Genomic DNA, 21647 nt, shown 5'->3' on the forward strand with positions numbered 1-21647 from the left:
GATTTGGAGGTAGTGTTTAAAGAAAAGATAAGGGGCAGGTATCCTAGTGAGAGAAACAGTGTTCAGGCAGGAAAGAGTACGAATTTACTACCACATACCTAAATGTGCAGGTTTGGAGAGCAATGGGCTAGAAGGAACATGTCGTTTCTGCTAATTGGTTTCTTCAGCTGTGACTCCTAATATTTACTGTTTCATTTGCTCAATGCAAACTATGAAGTACTTGCTCAGAGTACATGGAGCAGCTGGGTTTCTGGAATCCATGTGTTTTGAGCCTATTTTCCTTTTAAGAATAGTACAGAATACATTTATTGCAGGAAGCTCTTTTCCACTAGTGTGCTGATTCATTCACCTTCTTTGTTTCTGCCTTTCTGAAGTTTTTCTTGAGTCTAAGTAACCAGAGCCACCAACCACAGCTCAGGTATAGCCAGAACAGCAAATGGAAAGTGTGAAACCAATTCAAAAGGTGTTAATTCACACCCACAGATTCTTGCTCAGTCAGAATTGTCAAACACGGGGGTATAAGTAGTATGATTTTCTGTTTTCCTTGTCTTGTCATAAGACCCTCTAAAATTATTTTTATTTTAAACTGTTTTACGTTTATTCATTTGGCTTGGGTGTAATTCAATTATTTATAAAATGCCAGTATTTGAGTATCTGCTTCATTAGAGGCATTAATAAGTATTTATGGTATGTTACTTTGGTGAAATGAATTAATATAGAAATATTATTATTATTATTATTATTGTTTGAGACAGAGTCTCACTCTATCACCTAGGCTGGAGTGTAGTGGTGTGATCTTGGCTCACTGCATCCTCTGCCACCTGGGTTCAAGTGATTCTCCTGCCTCATCCTCCTGAGTAACTGGGACTACAGGCATGTGCCACCATGCCCAGCTAATTTTTGTATTTTTAATAAAGATGGGGTTTACCATGTTGGCCAGGCTGGTCTCAAACTCTTGGGCTCAAGTGATCTGCCCACCTTGGCCTCCTAAAGTGCTGGGATTACAGGTGTGAGCCACTGCACCTAGTCCAGAAATATTATTTTTGAGCTGGTATAAATATATATATTTTAAATATATATATAAACAATTACATATATATAACTTTAAAATTATATATAACTTTATAGACTATATACTATATAACAATATATAATATATAGTATATGTATTTATATAATATAAAGTATATATATAACTTTATATACATGCTATATATAGTGTTTTTAATATATAGGGTCAGTGTGTAAGTGTATAAAGTTTTATATATATATTTTATTTGTATATACACACATACACATATATGTATATATAAAACTTTATACATATATATTATATATTTTATATATTTATATTTATATTAATATATGTACACTGAGATTTAGGATATACATATGCACACATATATAGAGTGCATGTATAAAGTTATATATATAACTTTATATATGTATACATACATATACACATATATTTAGGTATGTGTATATATAGTGTGTGTATAAAGTTATACATATAATTTAGATTAAATATATAATATAAAGTAGGTTCAGAGGGATGAGTGAATCTAACACATACATATAAATTATATATAATTATATGTATATATATAATGCGTGCATGTATAAAGTTATATATATAATTTATGTGCGTGTGTGCGTGTGTGTGTGTATACATACATACACCTAGGAGCAGAATTGCTGGGTCATAGATATGTGTGGCCTTAATTTTACCAAGGACCTGTAATGCCAGATTCTAGAATTGCTGCCACCCTGCCCAGCATTTATTCAGCTTTGCATTTTTTGCCAGTGCAATAGGCCTTGAATTCTAGCTACGCAATACCTTGTGAAAACACCCCAGGAACTTTTAAATAAAACCAATGCCCAAGCCCCACCCAGAATATTTAGATTTAAATTTCTCAGGGTAGGGCCTGGGTGTTAGGTTTTAAAAAATCTTTCCAGGTGATTGATTCTAATGCACAGCCAAGGTAGGGATTCTGGTGTAAAGTGCTGCCTTGGTGTTTTAATTTGCTTTTTTCTCTGATTACTCATGGTTTTGGATATCTCTTCTTATGCTTGTTAACTTCTGGGGTTTCTTCTTGAGTAAATTACCTGTTCCCCAGCATATTTACATGATTGGGTGCAAGTTTAAATGATAATGTATATGTTTGAAGGGGAAAAACATCACACAGACCAAGAGAGATGAAACCACATGAGGAAGGGGCAGTCTGGCTCCCTTAGCCTCAGTGATCATGGGATTAGGAAATCTACCTCATTGTATGAGGCTGTGGTCTTTGGAAGTCACTTCCTCCTTATTCAGGTACTGCTTCCTAAATCACTACTCAGCCCCAGCAGAATTAGGGATGGTGGAACTTAGTAAGTACTATTTAGGTGTTTGTGAAATAAATGTGAATAAATGACTCTTTTATTTCTAGGTTTGCAATACAAATGCCTCTTTTTCCTACTTAATAATTGGTGCTGGACAACTTCTATTATGGAAAGATGTCAGTTTCTAAGCATCATGGGTTAGGGGATGGGCTTTGTGGCTACCATTTTGGATACAGAGCCTGGATGCCCCTAAGAGACTGAGTCTTGTTTCTAGGACCCACAGCCTGAACACCCAAACCTGTGGTAATTTTCTCCTCAGTTCCTCCCTTAATCCCTAGAGCAGGCTCTTTTTGTGTGGCTAACCAGAATTTTATGGTGAGTCCACTTACCTGGAAAAAGTGAGCAGCTCCACCCTCTGAGACAGAGGCCTTTCTGGGGCCTGGGAAGCCTGAGGGCAGCGTAGGCTTTGGGTGAGCTAGGACGTGCATGGCTGCATGGCGTGTGGCTCGTGTGACTCTCGGAGGAGAAGGGAAGGTATGACCTGAGGTCATTTCACACTGTGCTAGGTGAGGAACACTTTTGTTTTCTCCCTAATTTTAATTGTATGAGTTTTCAGATATTATTTAAGGCTGAATCATTCTTACCAAAAATGGGAGAGAAAAAAAGAAAAAAAGTCCTCAGTTACACTTCCTGGCCCCTTATGGATGTCAAGAGTTTTTCTTCACCTTTAATTAGTTTACTAATTTTTTTAGCTAAGAGATAATGGTGGAAAAAATTAATTTTCTGTCATTTCATACCACGAGGAGCTCAAATTTTAGAAAGATAGAAGTAAATATAGGTAATCACAAATCAGTGATCTAAGAGCCATTTACTTGCAAGACTGAGGGAAGTGGGGACAAAAGACAGGGGAAGCGCTTCCCAAGGCCACATGCAAAAGCTACGATTAAGCAGTGATGTATGTTGAAGCTGGGTTTTGAAAGAAAAGTAGAAGTTTGCTAGGAGGAAAACTGGAACTCAATTACTCACTGCCTGTGTGACCTTGGGCAAGTTCTGACACCTGAGAAGCTCAGTTTCCTTAGGTGTGAAATGGGAACACTAATATTACCTGCTTGTAAATGCAATTGCAGAGATTAAATGAAAAAAAAAAATAAAGCTTATGAAGGGCTTAACACAGGCCTGACATAGAAAAAGGCTCAGCAAACACTTATTGAGTACATGCACAAATGAATGTGTGCATGGGTGTGCCATGATGAAAGGTCATGGCAAAGCCAGTAAGAGAGGGACACTGCCTGATTGTTGTCTGGTTGATTGACTCTTATTCAGTACACTTAATTAAAAAATATAAATTATGAAGAACCCCTGACATGCATCTCTTTATTTCAAGGTCAAAATTAAAGAAGGCTAACATTCTCTATTGTCCTCTATTTTATTTTTTATTTTATGAATAAGCATTGGGGTTTCAAGTGGATCAGTTTGGGGACAGGTATGGATGTGGTAGCCAGTGGGTCTCAGTAAAATCTGAAAGATGTTGAGTGTGAGCTGCAGAACTTCTAGTGGCTTTAAGGCACAAGCTATTAATGACAGAATTATTCACTGAGAGGGAATAACTGTTAGCAATAATTACTCCTAAAGGTTCGGCTAAGAAAAGGATAATGAATGACCCAGCCACAGGCCTAGAGGGAAGACCTGGGTCTAATATGAGATTGACTGATGTCCGAATTCCAAATCTGCAACCTACACCTTCCTGAACTTCGATTTTTTAAACTTGTTAAATACATTGCAGGTGTGTAGAATTATTTTATGTTTATTCAGTGAATACTCATTGAAGGTCCACCATATGCCAGTGTTGGAGATATAATGATGATGAAAACTGCACAGTCCCCATCCATGTGATAGTTTGGATTCAAGAGGCATGACAGATATTAAACAGATCACAAAATTAATGTTTAAGGACCAACTGTGCTAAGTCCCAAGAAGGAACACAGTACTGGAGAGGTTGTGAAAGTAGAAGAATGAATTTAAATTGGAGAGTGAGATTCACACTGAGACCTGGAAGATGATATATTAGGTTTCTTTGGCTGCTATAGCAAATACTACAAACTTAGTGACTTAAAACAACACAGATTAATTATCTTGCAGTTCTGACGGTTAGAAGTCCAGCATGGATTTCACTGGGATAAAGTTAAGGTATTGGCAGGGCTGAGTTCTTTCTGGAGCCCCTGAGCCTCCAGAACCTGTTTTCTTGCTTTTTTCCAGCTTTTGGAGTCTACCTACATTCCTTGGTTCATGGTCCATTTATTCTATCTTCAAAGCCCTCAAAATTGTGTATCTCTGATCATTTTAGTCATATCTCTTTCTGAGGCTCACTCTGTCTACCTCTTCCACTTTTTATGACCCTTTGATTACATTGGTCTCATTTGGATAATCCAGGATAATCTTCCTATTTTAAAGTCAACTAATTAGCAACCTTAATTCCACCTTTAATCTTAATTCCCCTTTGTCATATAACCTATCTGTGAGGATTAAGTCTGTGAACATTTTTGGGAAGGTCATTATTTTGCCTAGATGAATAGGCATGAGCCTGGGGAAGTTGGTCAGGGGTGGAGGGAAGATATCACAAGCAGAAGACCTTGAGTCAGGCTTCTGTTGAATTCATGAAAAAGAAGAATGTGTCTGAAGGGGAGAGCAGAGCCAGCTAAGGAGGTAGATGGAGCTAGATTTTGCAGGGCCTTTTTTGCCTTGTTAAAGATTTGGGACTTTTATCTGAATGCAGTAAGAATCCATCAGAGTGTTGAGTATGGCATGGCATCATGGGATGGCATTTAAGAATCACTCTGCATTCTTGGAGGAGAGTTGATGGAGAAGGCCAGCAATGAGACTCCTGTCCTTACCAGAGGAAGAGATTTATGAGATTCATTAGCACAGGGCTTGCAATTAGTAGGAAGTCTCCTGTCTGTAGTTCTTCTCTACAACCAAGGTATTTGCTAGCATCTTTCTCAGCAACATTCATTATTTTTGCCCATTCTACTTCCTCTTAAAGACTCTCTTCTTTTACAACACCTACTTTTGCTCTTTTTGCCAACCTCTAATATCCTTTATGATCTGGCTCAAGATTCACGCCTTCCAAGAAGCCATCAGCAACTGGCTTTATTCTACATCAGTCACTGCCTTTGCTCTCTGAACATACTGAATGACTTAACTGTCATACTCACCATATTCCTCCTTCCAGGGTCTACTCCAGCACCCCACAATGGCTTCTGTCCTGCCTAAATTCCCAACCCACCATGACTGAGACAGATTTCACTGACCAGATAGTTAAACCTTCAATTTTGAACAATCAGGTGCCAGGATCTTCCTCCATCTACTGTGGCCCTGATACCTATGTTGCAGCTGTGAGCTGATGAAGTATAATGTCCCACTGGTGAGTCCTTAGATCTCTGTATTAGTCTGGACAGGCTACGTTTTGCTGCAATAACAAACAGCTTGTGTATTGCAATGATTTATAAGAACAAAGGTTTATTTCTTGCTCACACTATCTGCCCATTACTGGTCACTTATGGGCTCTGTTCATTTATCATTGTCCTCATTCTGAAACTTGGGCTAATGGAACCTGGCCTTTTTGTAGAACATTGTCTTCTATCATGGCTTATGACATGCATCAGTTTTAAATCTCTGGCTTCAAAGTGATAAATACATTTTTTACTTACAACTGTAGCCAAAAGAAACCTGAATTCAAGGAGACTGAGAAGAAACACAGAAGGCTAGAAAGTGCAACCTTATCACGTGTTGGAAAAGGGAGAGCTAGAACATTTGACAAACAACACGAATGACTAGTATTTTCATTCTGGTCTCAGGATCAGGACTCAACCCAAATTCCATGGTGCCTCAGATCTGATAATCAAATTATGATACCAGAGGTTACAAGCCTAAGCCCTGTCTGTGTGACTCAGTTTTTATACCTGACTTTTTCCTGGGTTTCCCTTTGAGTCCTATTTTAGTAATCACTTTGTTCTCCTCCATTCTCCAACAGGGCTGGAAGCCTTGTTTTGTCCTTTTCCAGTTTCCGTTCCTATAGGCTGGAGGCTCATCTATTCTGATGCTAGAGCCCTACTCCCTATAGGCAGACTGTGACGTAGATGTCAATGAATGCCTGGACTCCTGAGGATTGTCTAATTGAATTGCACCTGTAGAAGGCCTTGATATTTTTGGTTGGTTTCTCTCATGCTGATCATTTGCTTGAACCCTGGGCAGAGGTTCCGAGTCTGCAAAAATAATAAACTTTGCCTTCTCCCTGAGAATTTTCAGCCTGTGATGTAATTTAGGTCTGAGTTCCAGCAGCCTCTTGCTAGTGGGCAGGCAAGTTTTTGGGCATTACCACCACCCCTTTCTTGCTGTCAATAAACAATCATATTGTCTTAATATATTGAGATGTGTTGGCAGAGTCTCTGGTTGCTTTCTGATCTTTTTCCTATCCATAAGAGATTAAGATTCTAAATATATCTTCATTTCCCCCATTTCCCAATTTTTTTTTTTTTTCTCAGCATCTAATGTGACACAGTGAATGTGCTAGGAGTTTAATAACTACTTCTTGGGTAAATGAATGGGGAGCCACAAACTTACCTTAGAACTCATAAAATATCACTAAATGCTTTGGTATTTCATCAGAAAAATGGGGTAATGACATTTAATTCAGGAAGACATTAGGAGGATTAGATATGATCAGTGTGGTATGCTCTGGAAGAGGCATTCCTTCACAAGAAATGGCAATAACATTATTAATAAGATGTGGCTGAGTCAGATGCCGCCCAGGTGTAGAACAGCAGCCAGTTAGTGTGCCCCAGTGACATTCTTCAACAAGGGATGAAACTTTTATTTTCCTACTTCTCACACACACCTGAACTGCCCTCTTGTAGCCTTTTCCTTAAGTCAAGGAAAAGTAACCCTTAATTTATTTAAGGCACATTTTTTGGTGGTCATTGGAGGGGTAGGACAGAGATGATTTGTTGAACAAATTTTCAGATAGTTTTGGTTTTTTCAGTCTTCCACTTGATCATTTTTTCACATAGTCATTTTACTGGTTTGATTTTTACTTGACATTTAACTTCCACGCATTTTGAACAATTATCTTTTCAAGTTTAATTGACAGGAAATGTAAATCTGAATTCTGTACTGAAGCCTTTGAAATATGGTATCCATTTATTTCATTACCATTTGATCACTCAACACAATATGATGAATTATAATAATGGCCCTGGCATCAAAAAATTGCTAAAGATGATAGACGTGGAGATGTCATATTGATTCTCATCACATTAAAAGACCAAAGCAGGGACACAGAGATGTTTTGATTACTATCAGTTCATGGTGAAATCTCAGCCACAGAAATGTTTGATGTGGGTAACATGATAAATAAATCAATTTCATTGTAATCTTTAGGACTATAGTGTGCTTCATTTTATAATGCTAGATGACATATTAACAGACTCTACATTCCTTTGGCTAAAAAAAGAAACCCTGTTATTGAAGGACTGTCAACTATTCTTAATTAATGTAGGCTTCCAAATTTTTTGGCTTAAAATTCTGCAGATATGAAAAGCTTTTGTAGGAGATATTCAGCATACCAATGAGAGATATCTGTATTCTCTTTGCACATTGTAATAATCCAGGTGCACTCTACTCTAGTGGTTGGCCTGTGATGTAAGATGTAATAAATGAACAAAATATGTTCTTTGAAAAAATAGTGAAAGTTTGAATTTTCCACTGAAAATTTAAGAACATGATAATTTACATTTTCATTCTTACTTTGGCTCTTGCAATGGCTAATCGATTCATGATGGTGACGGAGGGACTTTGAAATTATTTTGTCAGTAACAGAATGATGTATATACTCCATATATTTCTGAAATAATGATTTACATTGGTGGAATTCCACATACTCGATGGTTATGAAACTCCAGTGCAAAATTTAAATATTTGTATCTCAGTATTACAATGTTATGTTAAATTTTAAAATAGTTCAACTAAAGTATATATTCTAATCAACTGACATATTTGTTCACTAGTGATATGAATTGATTTTTAAGTCAGTGGAGTCAGTGGCTTATTGAGTGGTATTGTTTAGTACTAGTGAATCTTCCAACTCACGTAGGTTCCTTATAGCTAAGTGACCACCTGTCTTGTTTGCATGAGATACCGTTGTCTCTGAAATTACTACTAGTGTTTCCTTTTGCTTTCAAAAGGAAATTTTGAAATGGATGGTAAAGTACATGAACACTCTACCTATACAGTCCTGGAAGCCATTGTTTTGGACTCTTTTTTGGACCAAATCTCTTCCCTAGATTTTTCATGCCTTTTTTGTAGTATAGGCCCCAGGGCTGTTTTTCTTTGCTTCAGTGGATTCCAATGGAAACGTTTTGCTGAAGAATGCATTTATAAAAGAATTTTAGAAATGATCAAAAAATTTTAAAATACATAATCTTCGCTCTTTTTCACCATTGAACACTCAGCACTTTGCACAATGCTTGGCTATCGTAGAGACTCCATAATTACTTGTTGAAGAATAAACAATTTAAAACTTAACCATTTTTTATTTAAGAAAATTCAAGTTTCTTCACACACACACTTTTCTTCCCAAAGATACTAAGCTACTGCATGATTACTCTTGGAATCATTGCTTAGTAAAATATTTCTCAAACATTGTTTGAATAAAGATTACTTGGCATTTGGACAAACAGGACCAAAAGTCAGACTCCCAGATCCTGCCCCTGAGAGTCTGGTTTTGTCTCAGATAATGCCAGATAAATAATAGGCATTCCATCTAGGATCCTCTCCAACTCCAAGTCTTTGAAATCTTTGTCTTACTTTAATTTCAAAAGGATATTTCCTTGACTTCCTACTAAGTTGTCCATCTTTCTACCATGTCACTGCTGATAATGTAGTTGTGGAGAAGATATTAGACTGCATAAAAGCCAGGTTCCACCACATAACTGGCTTTTTACCACTTCCTCTCTCTGGACACAAATTTCCTCCACCTTAAAATGACATGGCTGAGCTACAAGATCTCTCGGATCTCTTGCAACTCTGTTATCAGGTGGTTCTTATCTTTGAAGCCTGATAGATGTCTGATCATGAGACATTTTCCACAAAAGAGTACAACTACTTTGTCTTTGTTGCTTCATTTGCAAGAAATAATCTCTGGATTAATTATTACTTAAGAGATATTTTTAGTCTTTTAGGTTATTAAGCACCATTCTTCACCAACAACTTTCTGCATCAATTTTTTTTCAGATTCCCTAGATACGTGTATTGGGAGGTGATTGGTATTTTTTTTTTCATTTCAGAGGTTAAAAATAATCTCTTAACTTTTGCCAATTGTCTTTTAGATCCTGCCAAAGATATTTCTACAGATAAGAAAAAAGCCTTTGCCTTGGAGTATAATTTGCAAAAGTTGAAAGAGCCTTGTTTGCTCACATACCCTGTTATTAAATCATAAGCACAATCAGAAGTAATTGCTTGGGTGGCCATGCCAATTGGAGCCCACAAGATGGGAAGAAAAAGGGACCCTGGTGAATACATGTGCAGAGATTTGTTCATCAGATTAACTATCTTGTGGTGTATTGAGGCTTGAGGAAGGCTAAGCCATGTCATATTAATTTTTTTCAGAAGCAGAGAGAGAGAGAGGGAGAGAGAGAATAGACTGGAAAAGTTGTAGAGCATGGAAAGGTCCCCAGGAAGGTCAAGACTTGATGAGCAGTGGGTGGTGAGCCTCTAAAAGTTGTTTCCTCTGAAAGTTTTTTCCTCTTATTGGAGGAAAAGACAATCACATGTGGTTAGAAAAGAAGCAACAGAAACATTCACTTATACCAGAATTCTGTTCCTGTCTTGGGCTGTTCTTGAGGTCAGAAGGAAGAGTCCTGAGAAGTGATGTGACAGGGGAGAGAAGGAAGAAATGTATCTGACTGCAGTTTCTTTCTACTAAGCAGGCTGCTTGGGGAGGAGTATTGAGAGTGTAGTCACAGAGGTGGCATTGATTTTCTTGTGCCTTTACGTGATTACTTAACACCGCAGGTGTTAAGGTGGGTGGATCCCATGTAAAGAATAATTATTTATTATTTAGTCTAATCCACACTGGCACTGATGTCTCATAGTTGATTTACTATTAATCAACTCAATTATTTCTCAAGATTTTAGGTATAAAGGGCAATGAAGAGGCTGGAAAACGTTTCTGGAGTTAAGCTTGTGATATTTGCAGTTCAAGAATGGACAGAAAACATGGGAAATACATAGTGAACATTGAACACTCTGGAAACCAGCCAGTGAGTATTGGTGGCACCACTGTGATATATTCTCACAGTCCAGAGTCTTATTTTCAATATTTATGAAACTCTAATTTTTAAAAATTATAACATAGTTTTTCCCAAAATGGAATTCTTAAAATTTTACATGGAAGCCAATTTCTAGCTGCTCTATTACAACTTATTAATTAGAAAACTTGTATTTTTTTCTGCATGTCAATACATGCATAGCAGAGAAACTTATTTTAAATAATCACTGATCTAAGACATCAGCAATTTTGGGGGGTAACAATTTAATGATATGTTTAATACTTTACAGTTATTATAATTTAAGCATAAGACAACAAATGTGGGTTTGATTGCATTAGCAAATTAAACTTTTAAAATGTGATGTGTAGATTTTTGTGTTAACTGCCAAGATTGTTAGTGTAATATCTAGATTTGTCAGAACCCAGATATTTCTACATATCTTTGGGAGTCAGAAGTGAATCTTGTAAGTAAAGTTGAGGCCTAGGAAGCAAATTATCTAGCAAATCCTTTAGACTGGCCTCTACTTAAGTACTTATGAATTTCTTTTTTGGTAAAGAATTGTATTTAGGTAATATTTTAGAGTTCAATTACATACAACCTTGTTTATTGTTTAGGTTTTTAGAAGAAACAATTTAGCTCTGTATGTTTTATGATTGCATTTTATATAACTCTTCATGTCTAACTAGAGTCCTTGATATTGGAAACAGAAATGGAAATGTGCTGAATGAAATCAGTGTAAGTTTGAATGGATAGTTATGTTTTGTGAGGAAAAATATTTTTCTCTCCATGAACTAACAAGGAAGTTATAAGGCAGATAAATTTTTCCCTTGATTCTGGATCAGGACCCCTCTACCCTGAAGACGGTCTTCATGGTCTGTCTAGCCCTGCAAATCTGTCACTGTGTCTTCACAGTGTCAACATACTCAAATAAAAAGATTTCTTTGGTAATAGTAAGGAATCAGTTAGTCATCTTGAGTGTTTTCCTAAACAATGCTGTTTTCAAGTAAAGGTTACATATTTTAACACTGACTGAATATTTTACTTACATGTGTATACTTGGACATAGTGATAGAAAAAAATTTTTTTTCATTAAGGGCCATTTTGGTCAATGGATTGAATAGAAATTGAAGGCCACATAAAAATAAAATGTAGGAGTTTGTTTTTCTCTCTTAGGAAACAAAAATTGGTAAATTAATCTCTTTAAATCTGTGAATAGGGAATTTAAAATTTTACTCTGTGAGTATAGCTAATGCATATCAGATGCATGATGGAGATTATTGGCTGCTACCAAAAGCTAATTAAGTATAATTCACAGCTCCCTAACTGATCAATTTCTAACTTTAGAGACAACTTTTAACTTTAATTTTTAACTTTAGAGACTGACAGGAGAAACTGAGATAGCACGAATTATATTACCCCCAAAGCTCCACTGGGGTGTGTTCTTCATTCTTGGTACAGGTACCCACTATCTCCTTTCCTTTAAAGAATTTAAAAGAAATTCAGGCAAGCTGGTTTGGAAAGTGAGGTTTTACTTAATTATATAAGTTCAACAACAACAAAATCTAAGTTCATCACCCTCAGTATACTAAATTGCTGAAGAATAAGTGAAGCTTTTATAAAAGATAAATCTTTGTTATTTTTCTCAAAGTTTCTGATTGAAAAACAGATGGAATTTTGTTAAAGTACCTGTGTATATCAGATTTTATCTTATTCGATATCACTGAATAGCTACTAAAAAATGTTCTGGCTTGCTATTGTACTGTAAAAAAAATTAGACTCTGGCTAAGTCTTTACACCCAGATATATTCCTTCTTGACTGTATTTAATCACAATTAAACTCTCTTTTATTCTTATGTATAGTCTGTCACTGAGTAGTGTCTGCATACACATATGGTTTGATTGTTTCAATAGAATTTAGAGATTAATTGATCTGTCAGTAGTTTTTTAAAAATCCATTTAGGATGGGGTATTTAATCAAGAAGGTCAAGAGAGTATATTTATTTTATTTATTTATTTATATTTTATATATTTTATTTTTTGAGATGGAGTTTCACTCTTGTTGCCCAGGCTGGAGTGCAATGGTGCTATCTCAGCTCACTGCAACCTCCACCTCCCAGGTTTAAGAGATTCTTCTGCCTCAGTCTCCCAAGTAGCTAGGATTACAGGTGCATGTCACCACACCCAGCTAATTGTTGTAGTTTGGGTAGAGACAGGGTTTCACCATGTTGACCAGGCTGTTCTCAAACTGTTGACCTCTGGCGATCCACCTGCCTCAGCCTCCCAAAGTGCTGGGATTACAGGCGTGAGCCACTGCACCTGGCCAGGAGAGTATATTTAAATAATATTCTTACTGTTGTATTAGAAAAAAAGTTCTAGATAATTGTATAATATTTTTCAATTGTAACAAATTTACATGGACCAATTTGCAGTCCCTTGAATATCTAACACAGATTATTCTCCTTTTTCTTAAAACTGTTTCTGAGATTGTTTTTTCTTTCAACCACCCTTTAAGAAAAACCTAACCCCCCAAATGTTTCACATTTGAACCGACATTTTTAATGCATTTAGTTTAAAAAAATTTTAAGTAGGCACCCATGTACCAAACACAGATGGAGTCTTCTTTTTCTTTTTTTTTGGAAACAGAGTCTCACTCTGCCACCCAGGCTGGAGTGCAGTGGCGCGAACTCGGCTCACTGCAACCTCTGCATCCCATGTTCAAGTGATTCCCGTTCCTCAGCCTCTGGAGTAGCTGGGATTACAGGTGTCCGCCACCACATCTGACTAATTTTTATATTTTTAGTAGGGATGGCATTTCACCATGTTAGCCAGGCTGATCTTGAACTCCTGACCTCAGGTGATCCACCCACCTCAGCCTCCCAAAGTGCTGGGATTACAGGCATGAGCCACTGCGCCCGGCCATGGGTTTTTCTAAAGGAGGGAGTGGAGACTTTCTTACTCTCTGATACTACAAGATATTCAGGCTCATCTTATATATTTCCTGCTCTAGCACTAGAATCAGCCATTTCTCCAAGGATCCCTGGGTCCTTTTATTGGAAATGGTATTTAAAAACCAAGATTTGGGTGCTGGGTGTGCTTGTTGCTACTAGCATTTTGTTGATTCTGGGTCCTCTCAGCTGACAAAGCAAGGAGACATATGTGAGTGTACTAACCCATGCATATAAACATATCTATAAATATTTCTATATGTAACTATCAATGTTGCTATTAAGCTAAACATGAGTTTATATTGATATCTCCAACTATAATTCATCCAGTCTCCAACTGTAATGATCCATGGATCATTCTAGCCTCCACTGATGAAAAAAGCCAAACTCTAAAATATTTGAAAAGGTTTCTTATGAGCCAAATATGAGTGACCATGGCCTGTGACATGGCCTCAAGAAGTCCAGAGAACATGTGCCCAAGGTGGTTGTGTTATAGCTTTTGGTTTTATACATTTTCTGGCATCAGAAGTTACAGGCAAAGATGTAAATGAATACATGTAAGGTATACATTGTTTTGGCCTGGAAAGTCAGGGCATCTCAAAGTGGGTGGGATGGGGGAGCAGTAGACACACTGGTCATAGGTGGATTCAAAGGTTTCCTGATTGGCAATTGGTTGAAAGCGTTGATCTTTGCCTAAAGAGTGGAAATCAGCAGAAAGAAAGCTTGAGTTAAGATAAGGAAGATTGTGGGAGCCAAGATTCTTCTTATGTAGATGAAGCTTCCAGGTGGCAGGCTTTAGAGAGAATAGATGGTAAATGACTCTTACCTGACTTTAAAAGCTGTCAGGCTCAGTTAAATCTCTCCTGAATCAGGAAAACACCTGGAAAAGGAAGGGGATTTTTCTACAGAGCACAAATTTCCCCCACAAGAGATGGCTTTGCAGGGCCATTTCAAAATATGTCAAAGAAATATATTTTGGGGTAAAATTCTTGTATTTCCATCAGTGCCTGCTGTCATGTGATGCTAAACCAAGGTCAGGTTGGAGCTGGGTATCTCATTGCTACAAAGAGTCTGTTTTGTTAGTCTATGATCTCTATTTTAATGTTAATGCTGGTCAGTTGTGCCTAAATTCCAAAGGGAGGAGGGAACAATGAAGTATGTCTGACCTGCCCTTCCTTTTGTGGCTTGAAGTAGTTTTTCAGGGTTCTTTGGGTCCCCTGGCCAAGAGGTGAGTCTGTTCATTTGGTTGGGCAGCTTAGAATTTTACTTTTGGTTTATACTTTCTTATCTTGCTTATCCGTAAACTTCTACTCTAACACGGAGAAACCTGGCTCCCACACTGCCATCCTCCATCCGTTTGCTTAATTATTTCATTCCAGAATGCATGTATGGAACTGTTACCCTGTAGGTAACAACTTCATCAACTATGATTCAATGCTGCGTCCAGTTTTTTGCTTTTAGTGTGACAGACTCCACTTGTTCCCAAAGTTCCTTTAGTCAGCACCTTTTTACTCCATCCACTTCAGTGAAATTGTTGATTCTTACATTTGTAATATAGTCAGGTTGCTTCATCCTACTCTGCATTCCATTTTGGGATTCTCCAATGTCCTACATGATTTTCAAAAATTTTCATATATTAAGGTTCATTCATGTTGTAGCTTAGTATACTCATTATTTTCAATTTTTAAAAATTAAGGTACAGTATACTTTATGTAAATTATACATAAAGTAAACATATTTAAGTGAACAGGTTAATGAATTTTTACACATATATATGTGCATATATACATCAAACACATACCTGTGTAACCATCCCCTGTAGAGTCTTAATTAGGGAAAAGGAGTCAGGCTGGTGGAACCAAGGGAAAGCAAAAACCAAAAGCAGATAAGCTATAAGTCTGCCATTCTTCATGGTCCAGGACACACAGCTGTCCTGTGCAAATAACTTACAATCTTCCTGTGCCCAACCGATCACCAGACACCTGCAAGTTAGCTCACTGCAATCTTGGCATTATCAATACTGCATAAATCCCTCTTCAGCACACAGCGCAGGCACCATCCTACAAAATCCCCAGCAAGCCTTTATCTCCTTGCCATCAGCTCCTCTCTTGCTAACTTGCCCACTGTTTCCTTGCAACTTATTTTGCAACTTTCTCTGATAAATCTACTTTTCTTTACCTACAAGTGTTTTGATAAATTATTTTTACCACCCATGCCACTGGCCCAGATAGTCACTGATCACCTGTGACATCCCCTAGATCTAAATACAGAACATTTGCAACATCCAAGAAGACCCCCTATGCTGCTGCCAATCAGTACCCCATCCTTTCAGAGGTAACCACTCTTACTTCTGTTGCCGCATCTTAGTTTTGTGTTTTCCTGAATTCTGCATAAATGGAGTTGTACAGTACTCTTATGTGTGTGGCTTATGTTGCTCAACACCATATCTGTATCACTGGTTTCTTCTTTATAACTGTAAAATATTTCATTTGCATAAACAAACCATAATTTATTTATCCATTTTCCTGTTGATGAACGGTTGAGTTGTTTTCATTTTTTGATGTTATGGATCAAGCTTCTGTGAACTTGTTGCACCCAAGCGAGTTAGAGAAACGCCACACTTTGAGAAGAAATTGAGAGTCCTTTATTTAGCCGGCGACCGAGAGGCAGCTAACGCTCAAAATTCTCTCGGCCATGAGGAAGGGGCTTGATTTTCTTTTATTCTTTGGTTTAGGTAGGGGAGGGGGGTTCAGATGCAATAATTCTACAGAGGTAAAACATGCAAAAAAATTAAAAAGGACAAATGGCTACAGAGAAACAAACAATTTAAAAGACAAATGGTTACAGAGAAGCAACAGTACCAGGTGCGGGGGCTCTAAATCCTTCATAAGATGTTAGATATGGGTGCTATGCCGGACACAAACTCAAGGCTTTATGGTGTTATCTTTTGAGCAAAATCCTGGGAACTTCGTACATTGCTTGTTTTAGTACCTTATCAGTTAATTGGACTCTTTTGATATGTTGAGAATCTGCTTACACAAGTTAACTCCTTGAGGAAAAGGGGTGGGTAGGGAGTCCTTAATGTCTTGTAAATCAAGGGAGCCAGGTGGAGTTCCTCGGGCTTTCTCAGCTAAGGGAGAGTCTATTCATGTGGAAACAAGGCTAGGTGATTAAGGGAGAAAAAAGGAGAGTCTAAAAACTGGGTTAGTAAAATAAGGTTAGGCATTACAAAATTCCTTGTCCATGGCTTATGGAGCACATATACTTTCACAGCTCTTGGATGTACAGGCAGGAACACAGTGACTATGTCATATGATAGGTGCTGAGAGATGCTAGCTGTCCAGGTGTTCAATTAGGACTTTGAGCCAAATTAAAAGTAATGACTAAGCCCTTATTCACTTATTGCAATAGTATAAGCAAGAGGTCGAAGAGATATGGTGTCAGCCACCATAATGTTCCATTTTTTTTTTTCTCCACATAACAGCACTGGGCAAGAGTTAAATGGATCAGCATAGACCAGGATGACCCAATTGCCAAGGGACCACTGAACAAAGGGCTTCTGCCATTTTATGGACTGGGAGATAGAGAAAGAGGAAGAAGGCCTAGAAGTGGGAAAGAACTGAGTACTGAGTCAGGGTGGAGAAAATTGTCTTCAAGGCCCCTGTTAAGGAGATGTCCACACAAGTGCTTGAACAGTATCTCCCCTGAGGCAACCCTTGTTTCTAACCCCTCACCAAACAAGGAAGGCTCCAGATGGAAGTTCCTAGGCAAGGAATGAAGATATGCTCAACAGCATGATTGCCCAGGGTGGCATGGGGGAAGGGAAGGCTGAATTCCTGACTGCAGGTTCCTTCATAGACTGCAGTGCACAAATGCAATGCAGCTTCCTGACTGCAGCTTCCTCCAGATACTGCAATGCACAGCTGCACCAAATCTTCAGGGAGGGCCCTTTCCTCTTTGAGGCTTTCCAGGTGAAGCCTTTGCAGTGGCCTATGGTTACATCAGAAAGGTCACACATAGAATTTTGGCCTGGAGCCAGACATCTGAATAGGTAGTAAATGTTTTACATTTTTTCCCATTCTTTTCTGCCTATAGCCTTTCCTGAGTCCAAGAAACCATGAAGCTCACAATTCAGCATGTCAATTCTCTACATCAACTGAAATAACTGGTGATGTTGGTACTAATTTAATTGGTGCCTGCACCAGCCCAGCGACCCTTGAACACTCAGAATTTCCAAACAGAGAATTCCAACATTATCAGGTAATACTTGGGACAACAATGTTTTCTGGATTAAGATATAATCCACATGAAAATACTCTTGATCCAATATTTGGAGGAAGAACATTCGGTCAATTAACATTAACATTTTTCTTTTGAGAAATCCTTTGAAAATGTGAAGTCACTGAGAGGGAATATAGGAGAGGTAGAAGATTTATGGGGCTGTTTGTTTGCTTAAGGAGTTAATGATCTTAATAGAAAGACAAAAACATATAAGGAGTTTAGAGAGGGCCAAAGAAAACAAAAATTAGAGGCTTTTATTTTTGAAGTACTGAATAGGTAGCAACATAACAAATACATTGGCAGTGAATGACATTGTCTGTAAACCTTGCTCAGGTGGAAGATGACGTCATGTGTTGAGGTCCAGGCCCTAATCTGTGGATGATCTGTCTCACTCTGCCTTCCTGCATGCCTCTGAATCTAACTGTGGGCCTTCCTGTAGCCCTCCTGGCTCTGATCTCATATGTTTTCAACCTTGACTTAGATGGTTTATGTACCCTGGGAGGTATAAAGAGTTTCTAAGAAGATATTTATTATTTTTTAATTTGGAAAGATATATTCATGTGAATGAGAAAGCATGAGAGATCAGCGGAAATTTCTTTGAACATTAAGGAAACAAAAGTACAAGGCTTTTCCTAATAAAAGCTAAAATTTGGGCCCAGCGTTTGTTATTTAAAATAGTTTTTATCTTCCTGTTTTATGCTCAATGGGTTCTTCTTGCCCACTGCTTAGATAGAACAAATTTGTCAAGACAGGGGGATTGCAATAAAGAGTTTTACACACTTAGAGCTGGCTAAATGGGAGGCCAGAGTTTTATTATTACTCATATCCGCCTCCCCCCAGATTTGGAGGCTAGAGTTTTTCAAACATAGTTTGGGAGAAGGAGAGGTGGCTAGGGAATGGGTGCTACTGACTGGTTGGGGATGGAATCATAGGAGTGTGGGAAATAGTCCTCATGGCCACTGAAGTTGATTCTGGGTGGGGCCACAGGACGAGTTGGGGCCACCAGTCATCAGAAATGCAAAAACCTGAAAAGGAATCTCAAAAGACCAATGTTAGGTGCTACAATAGTGAAGGAATCTGCAGGAGTAATTGGGGAAGTTGTAAATCTTGTGATCTCCAGAATAATGATAGGTAATCATTTATGTCTACACCTGATCAGAATTCAGGCTCCTCTCATCCTCCTAACCTGGTGGTCTTTCATTAGCTTTACAAAGGCAGTTTAGTTTTGGGGAAGGGCTATTATGCCTAGGAACAAGTAAGGACAGTTTGGAGATTAAAGTCAAGATGAGGGTTGATTAGATCAGATATCTTTCACCATCATAATTTTCTCACTGTTATAATTTTTGCAAAGTTGGTTTCATTTATACATTGTTTCAATGAAGTAATCTATTTCAAAATCTACTACAAAGCTGTAGTAATCAAAACAGGATGGTATTGGCACTAAAAAACCAGACCAATTGAAGAGGACAGAGTCCAGAAATAAATCCACACATTAATGATCGATTGGTTTTTCAACAAAGATGTGAAGAACACACAATGAAGAACAGTCTTTTCAAAAATGGTGTTGGGAAAACTAAATATCCACCTGGAGAAGAGGGAAATTGGACTCTGATCACTCATCATATACCAATATCAACACAAAATGGCAAAACACTCAAGTGTAAGACTTGAAACTATAATGCTACTAGAAGAAAACGTATAAAAAGGATGAACAATGGCATTAATTTTTCATAAAATATTTATTTTCATCCTTAGTAATTTTATTTAAATCCGTTCCAGGTGACACGGAATTTCTTCTGTGACTGGTCTCTATGGAAAACCTTTCTGGCTTGTCTCTTAGCCTGTGTGATAACGACAGCAATTGGAGTACTCATAGTATCCCTGGTATATAATGGGAAAAATAATAATGCCTCCATTGTTATCCAATTTCCCCAAAGCCATGGAACACCCTCATCTGCCACTGGAATAACCTCATCTATAGTTTCTCAACCTACTGTTGCCACTACTATAATAAATTCTACCACAAAATCCACTTCACCTAAACCTACTATTATAAGAACCACTGCAAGCACTTCTATAGAACCTACCAGCACAATGACCTCCAATAATACTTCAGCTGCAACTACAATATCACCAGCCACCACTTCAGCTGAAGCCACAGCCACAGCAACAGCAGGAATTTCCACAGAAGCTACAACCAAAACAGCCACCACTAACACTTCCACTGAATACACATCCGCAACAACAATGAGCAATGCAACTGAACAGTCCACCACAACAACTGCAGGCACTTCCACCGAGTCTACAATCACAACAGCCACCACTGCCACCTCTACTGAACCCACAACCACAACAACAGCCAGTAGTGCAACTGAACAGTCTGCCACCACAACTGTAGGCACTTCCACTGAGACTACAACCACAACAGCCACCACTACCACGTCTACTGAATCCACAACCACACCAGTCAGCACTGCAACTGAACAGTCTGCCACCACAACTGCTGGCACTTCCACTGAGATAACAGCCACAACAGCCACCACCACAACCTCTACTGACTCCACAGCCACAACAACAGCCAGCACTGCAACTGAAAAGGATGCCACTACAAATGCAGGCACGTCCACTGAGGCTACATCCACCACAGCCACCACTACCACTTCTGCTGAACCCACGACAACCACAGCAAGCACAGCAACTGAACAGTCTGCCACCACAACTGCTGGCACTTCCATTGAGACTGCAACCACAACAGCCACCACTGCCACCTCTACTAAACCCACAACCACAACAACAGCCAGCACTGCAACTGAACAATCTGCCGCCACAACTGCTGGCACTTCCACTGAGGTTACAACTACAACAGCCACCACTACCACTTCTACTGAATACAGAATGACAACCACAGCAAGCACTGCAACTGAACAGCCTGCCACCACAACTCCAGGCACTTCCACTGAGGCTACAACCACAGCAACCACCACAACCACTTCTACTGAGCCCACAACCAAAATGACAGCCAGCATTGCAACTGAACAGTCTGCCACCACAACTGCAGGCACTTCCACTGAGGCTACAACCCCATCAGCCACCACTACCACCTCTAATGAACCCACAACCACAACAGCCAGTACTGCATCTGAACAGTCTGCCACCACAACTACTGACACTTCCGCTGAGGCTACATCCACAACAGCCACCACTACCACATCTACTGAACCCACAATGACAACCACAGCAAGCACTGCAACTGAACAGTCTGCCACCACAACTGCAGCCACTGCTACTGAGACTACATCCATAACAGCCACCACTGCCACCTCTACTGAACCCACAACCACAACAGCAGCTAGCACTGTGACTGAACAGTCTGCCACAAGAACTGGAGGTACTTCCACTGGAGTTACAATCACAGCAGACACCACTGCCATGTCTACTGAACCCAGCACTACAACAACCGGCACTGCCAGTGAACAGTCTGCCACCACGACTGCAGGCACTTCCATTGAGGCAACAACCACAACAGCTACCACTACCACCTCTACTGAACCCAACACCACCACAACAGCCAGCACTGTAACTGAACAGTCTGCCACCACAACTGCAGGCACTTCCACTGAGACAAAAGCCACAACAGCCACCACTACCACTTCTACTGAACCCACAATGACAATCTCAGCAAGCACTGCAACTGAACAGCCTGCCACTGCAACTGCAGCCATGGCCACTGAGACTACAACTACAACAGCTACCACTGCCACCTCTACTGAACCCA

The 21647-nt window shown here is 38.8% G+C and overlaps 1 pseudogene, besides 7 other annotated features; it reads left to right on the forward strand.

Moving 5' to 3' along the window:
* DYNAPP1 (DYNAP pseudogene 1) lies at positions 10543 to 19797 on the forward strand (annotated as a pseudogene).
* Positions 13570 to 14193: an enhancer, noted in NCBI's record as "OCT4-NANOG-H3K27ac hESC enhancer chr18:52054867-52055490 (GRCh37/hg19 assembly coordinates)". NCBI's record gives its function as "activates a minimal SCP1, AML or CMV promoter by ChIP-STARR-seq in naive H9 embryonic stem cells {active_cell/tissue: H9 hESC(naive)}" and the evidence as "EXISTENCE:reporter gene assay evidence [ECO:0000049][PMID:30033119]".
* Positions 13570 to 15440: a biological region, named in NCBI's record as "hESC enhancers GRCh37_chr18:52054867-52055490, GRCh37_chr18:52055491-52056114 and GRCh37_chr18:52056115-52056737".
* Positions 14112 to 14406: a silencer, noted in NCBI's record as "tiled region #8549; K562 Repressive non-DNase unmatched - State 24:Quies". NCBI's record gives its function as "represses a minimal TATA promoter and a strong SV40 promoter by Sharpr-MPRA in K562 cells {active_cell/tissue: K562}" and the evidence as "EXISTENCE:reporter gene assay evidence [ECO:0000049][PMID:27701403]".
* Positions 14194 to 14817: an enhancer, noted in NCBI's record as "OCT4-NANOG-H3K27ac hESC enhancer chr18:52055491-52056114 (GRCh37/hg19 assembly coordinates)". NCBI's record gives its function as "activates a minimal SCP1, AML or CMV promoter by ChIP-STARR-seq in naive H9 embryonic stem cells {active_cell/tissue: H9 hESC(naive)}" and the evidence as "EXISTENCE:reporter gene assay evidence [ECO:0000049][PMID:30033119]".
* Positions 14532 to 14826: a silencer, noted in NCBI's record as "tiled region #677; HepG2 Repressive non-DNase unmatched - State 24:Quies". NCBI's record gives its function as "represses a minimal TATA promoter and a strong SV40 promoter by Sharpr-MPRA in HepG2 cells {active_cell/tissue: HepG2}" and the evidence as "EXISTENCE:reporter gene assay evidence [ECO:0000049][PMID:27701403]".
* Positions 14818 to 15440: an enhancer, noted in NCBI's record as "OCT4-NANOG-H3K27ac hESC enhancer chr18:52056115-52056737 (GRCh37/hg19 assembly coordinates)". NCBI's record gives its function as "activates a minimal SCP1, AML or CMV promoter by ChIP-STARR-seq in naive H9 embryonic stem cells {active_cell/tissue: H9 hESC(naive)}" and the evidence as "EXISTENCE:reporter gene assay evidence [ECO:0000049][PMID:30033119]".
* Positions 15441 to 16065: an enhancer, noted in NCBI's record as "H3K27ac hESC enhancer chr18:52056738-52057362 (GRCh37/hg19 assembly coordinates)". NCBI's record gives its function as "activates a minimal SCP1, AML or CMV promoter by ChIP-STARR-seq in naive H9 embryonic stem cells {active_cell/tissue: H9 hESC(naive)}" and the evidence as "EXISTENCE:reporter gene assay evidence [ECO:0000049][PMID:30033119]".

Source organism: Homo sapiens, chromosome 18 (assembly GCF_000001405.40).
Source record: "Homo sapiens chromosome 18, GRCh38.p14 Primary Assembly".
NCBI lineage: Eukaryota > Metazoa > Chordata > Mammalia > Primates > Hominidae > Homo > Homo sapiens.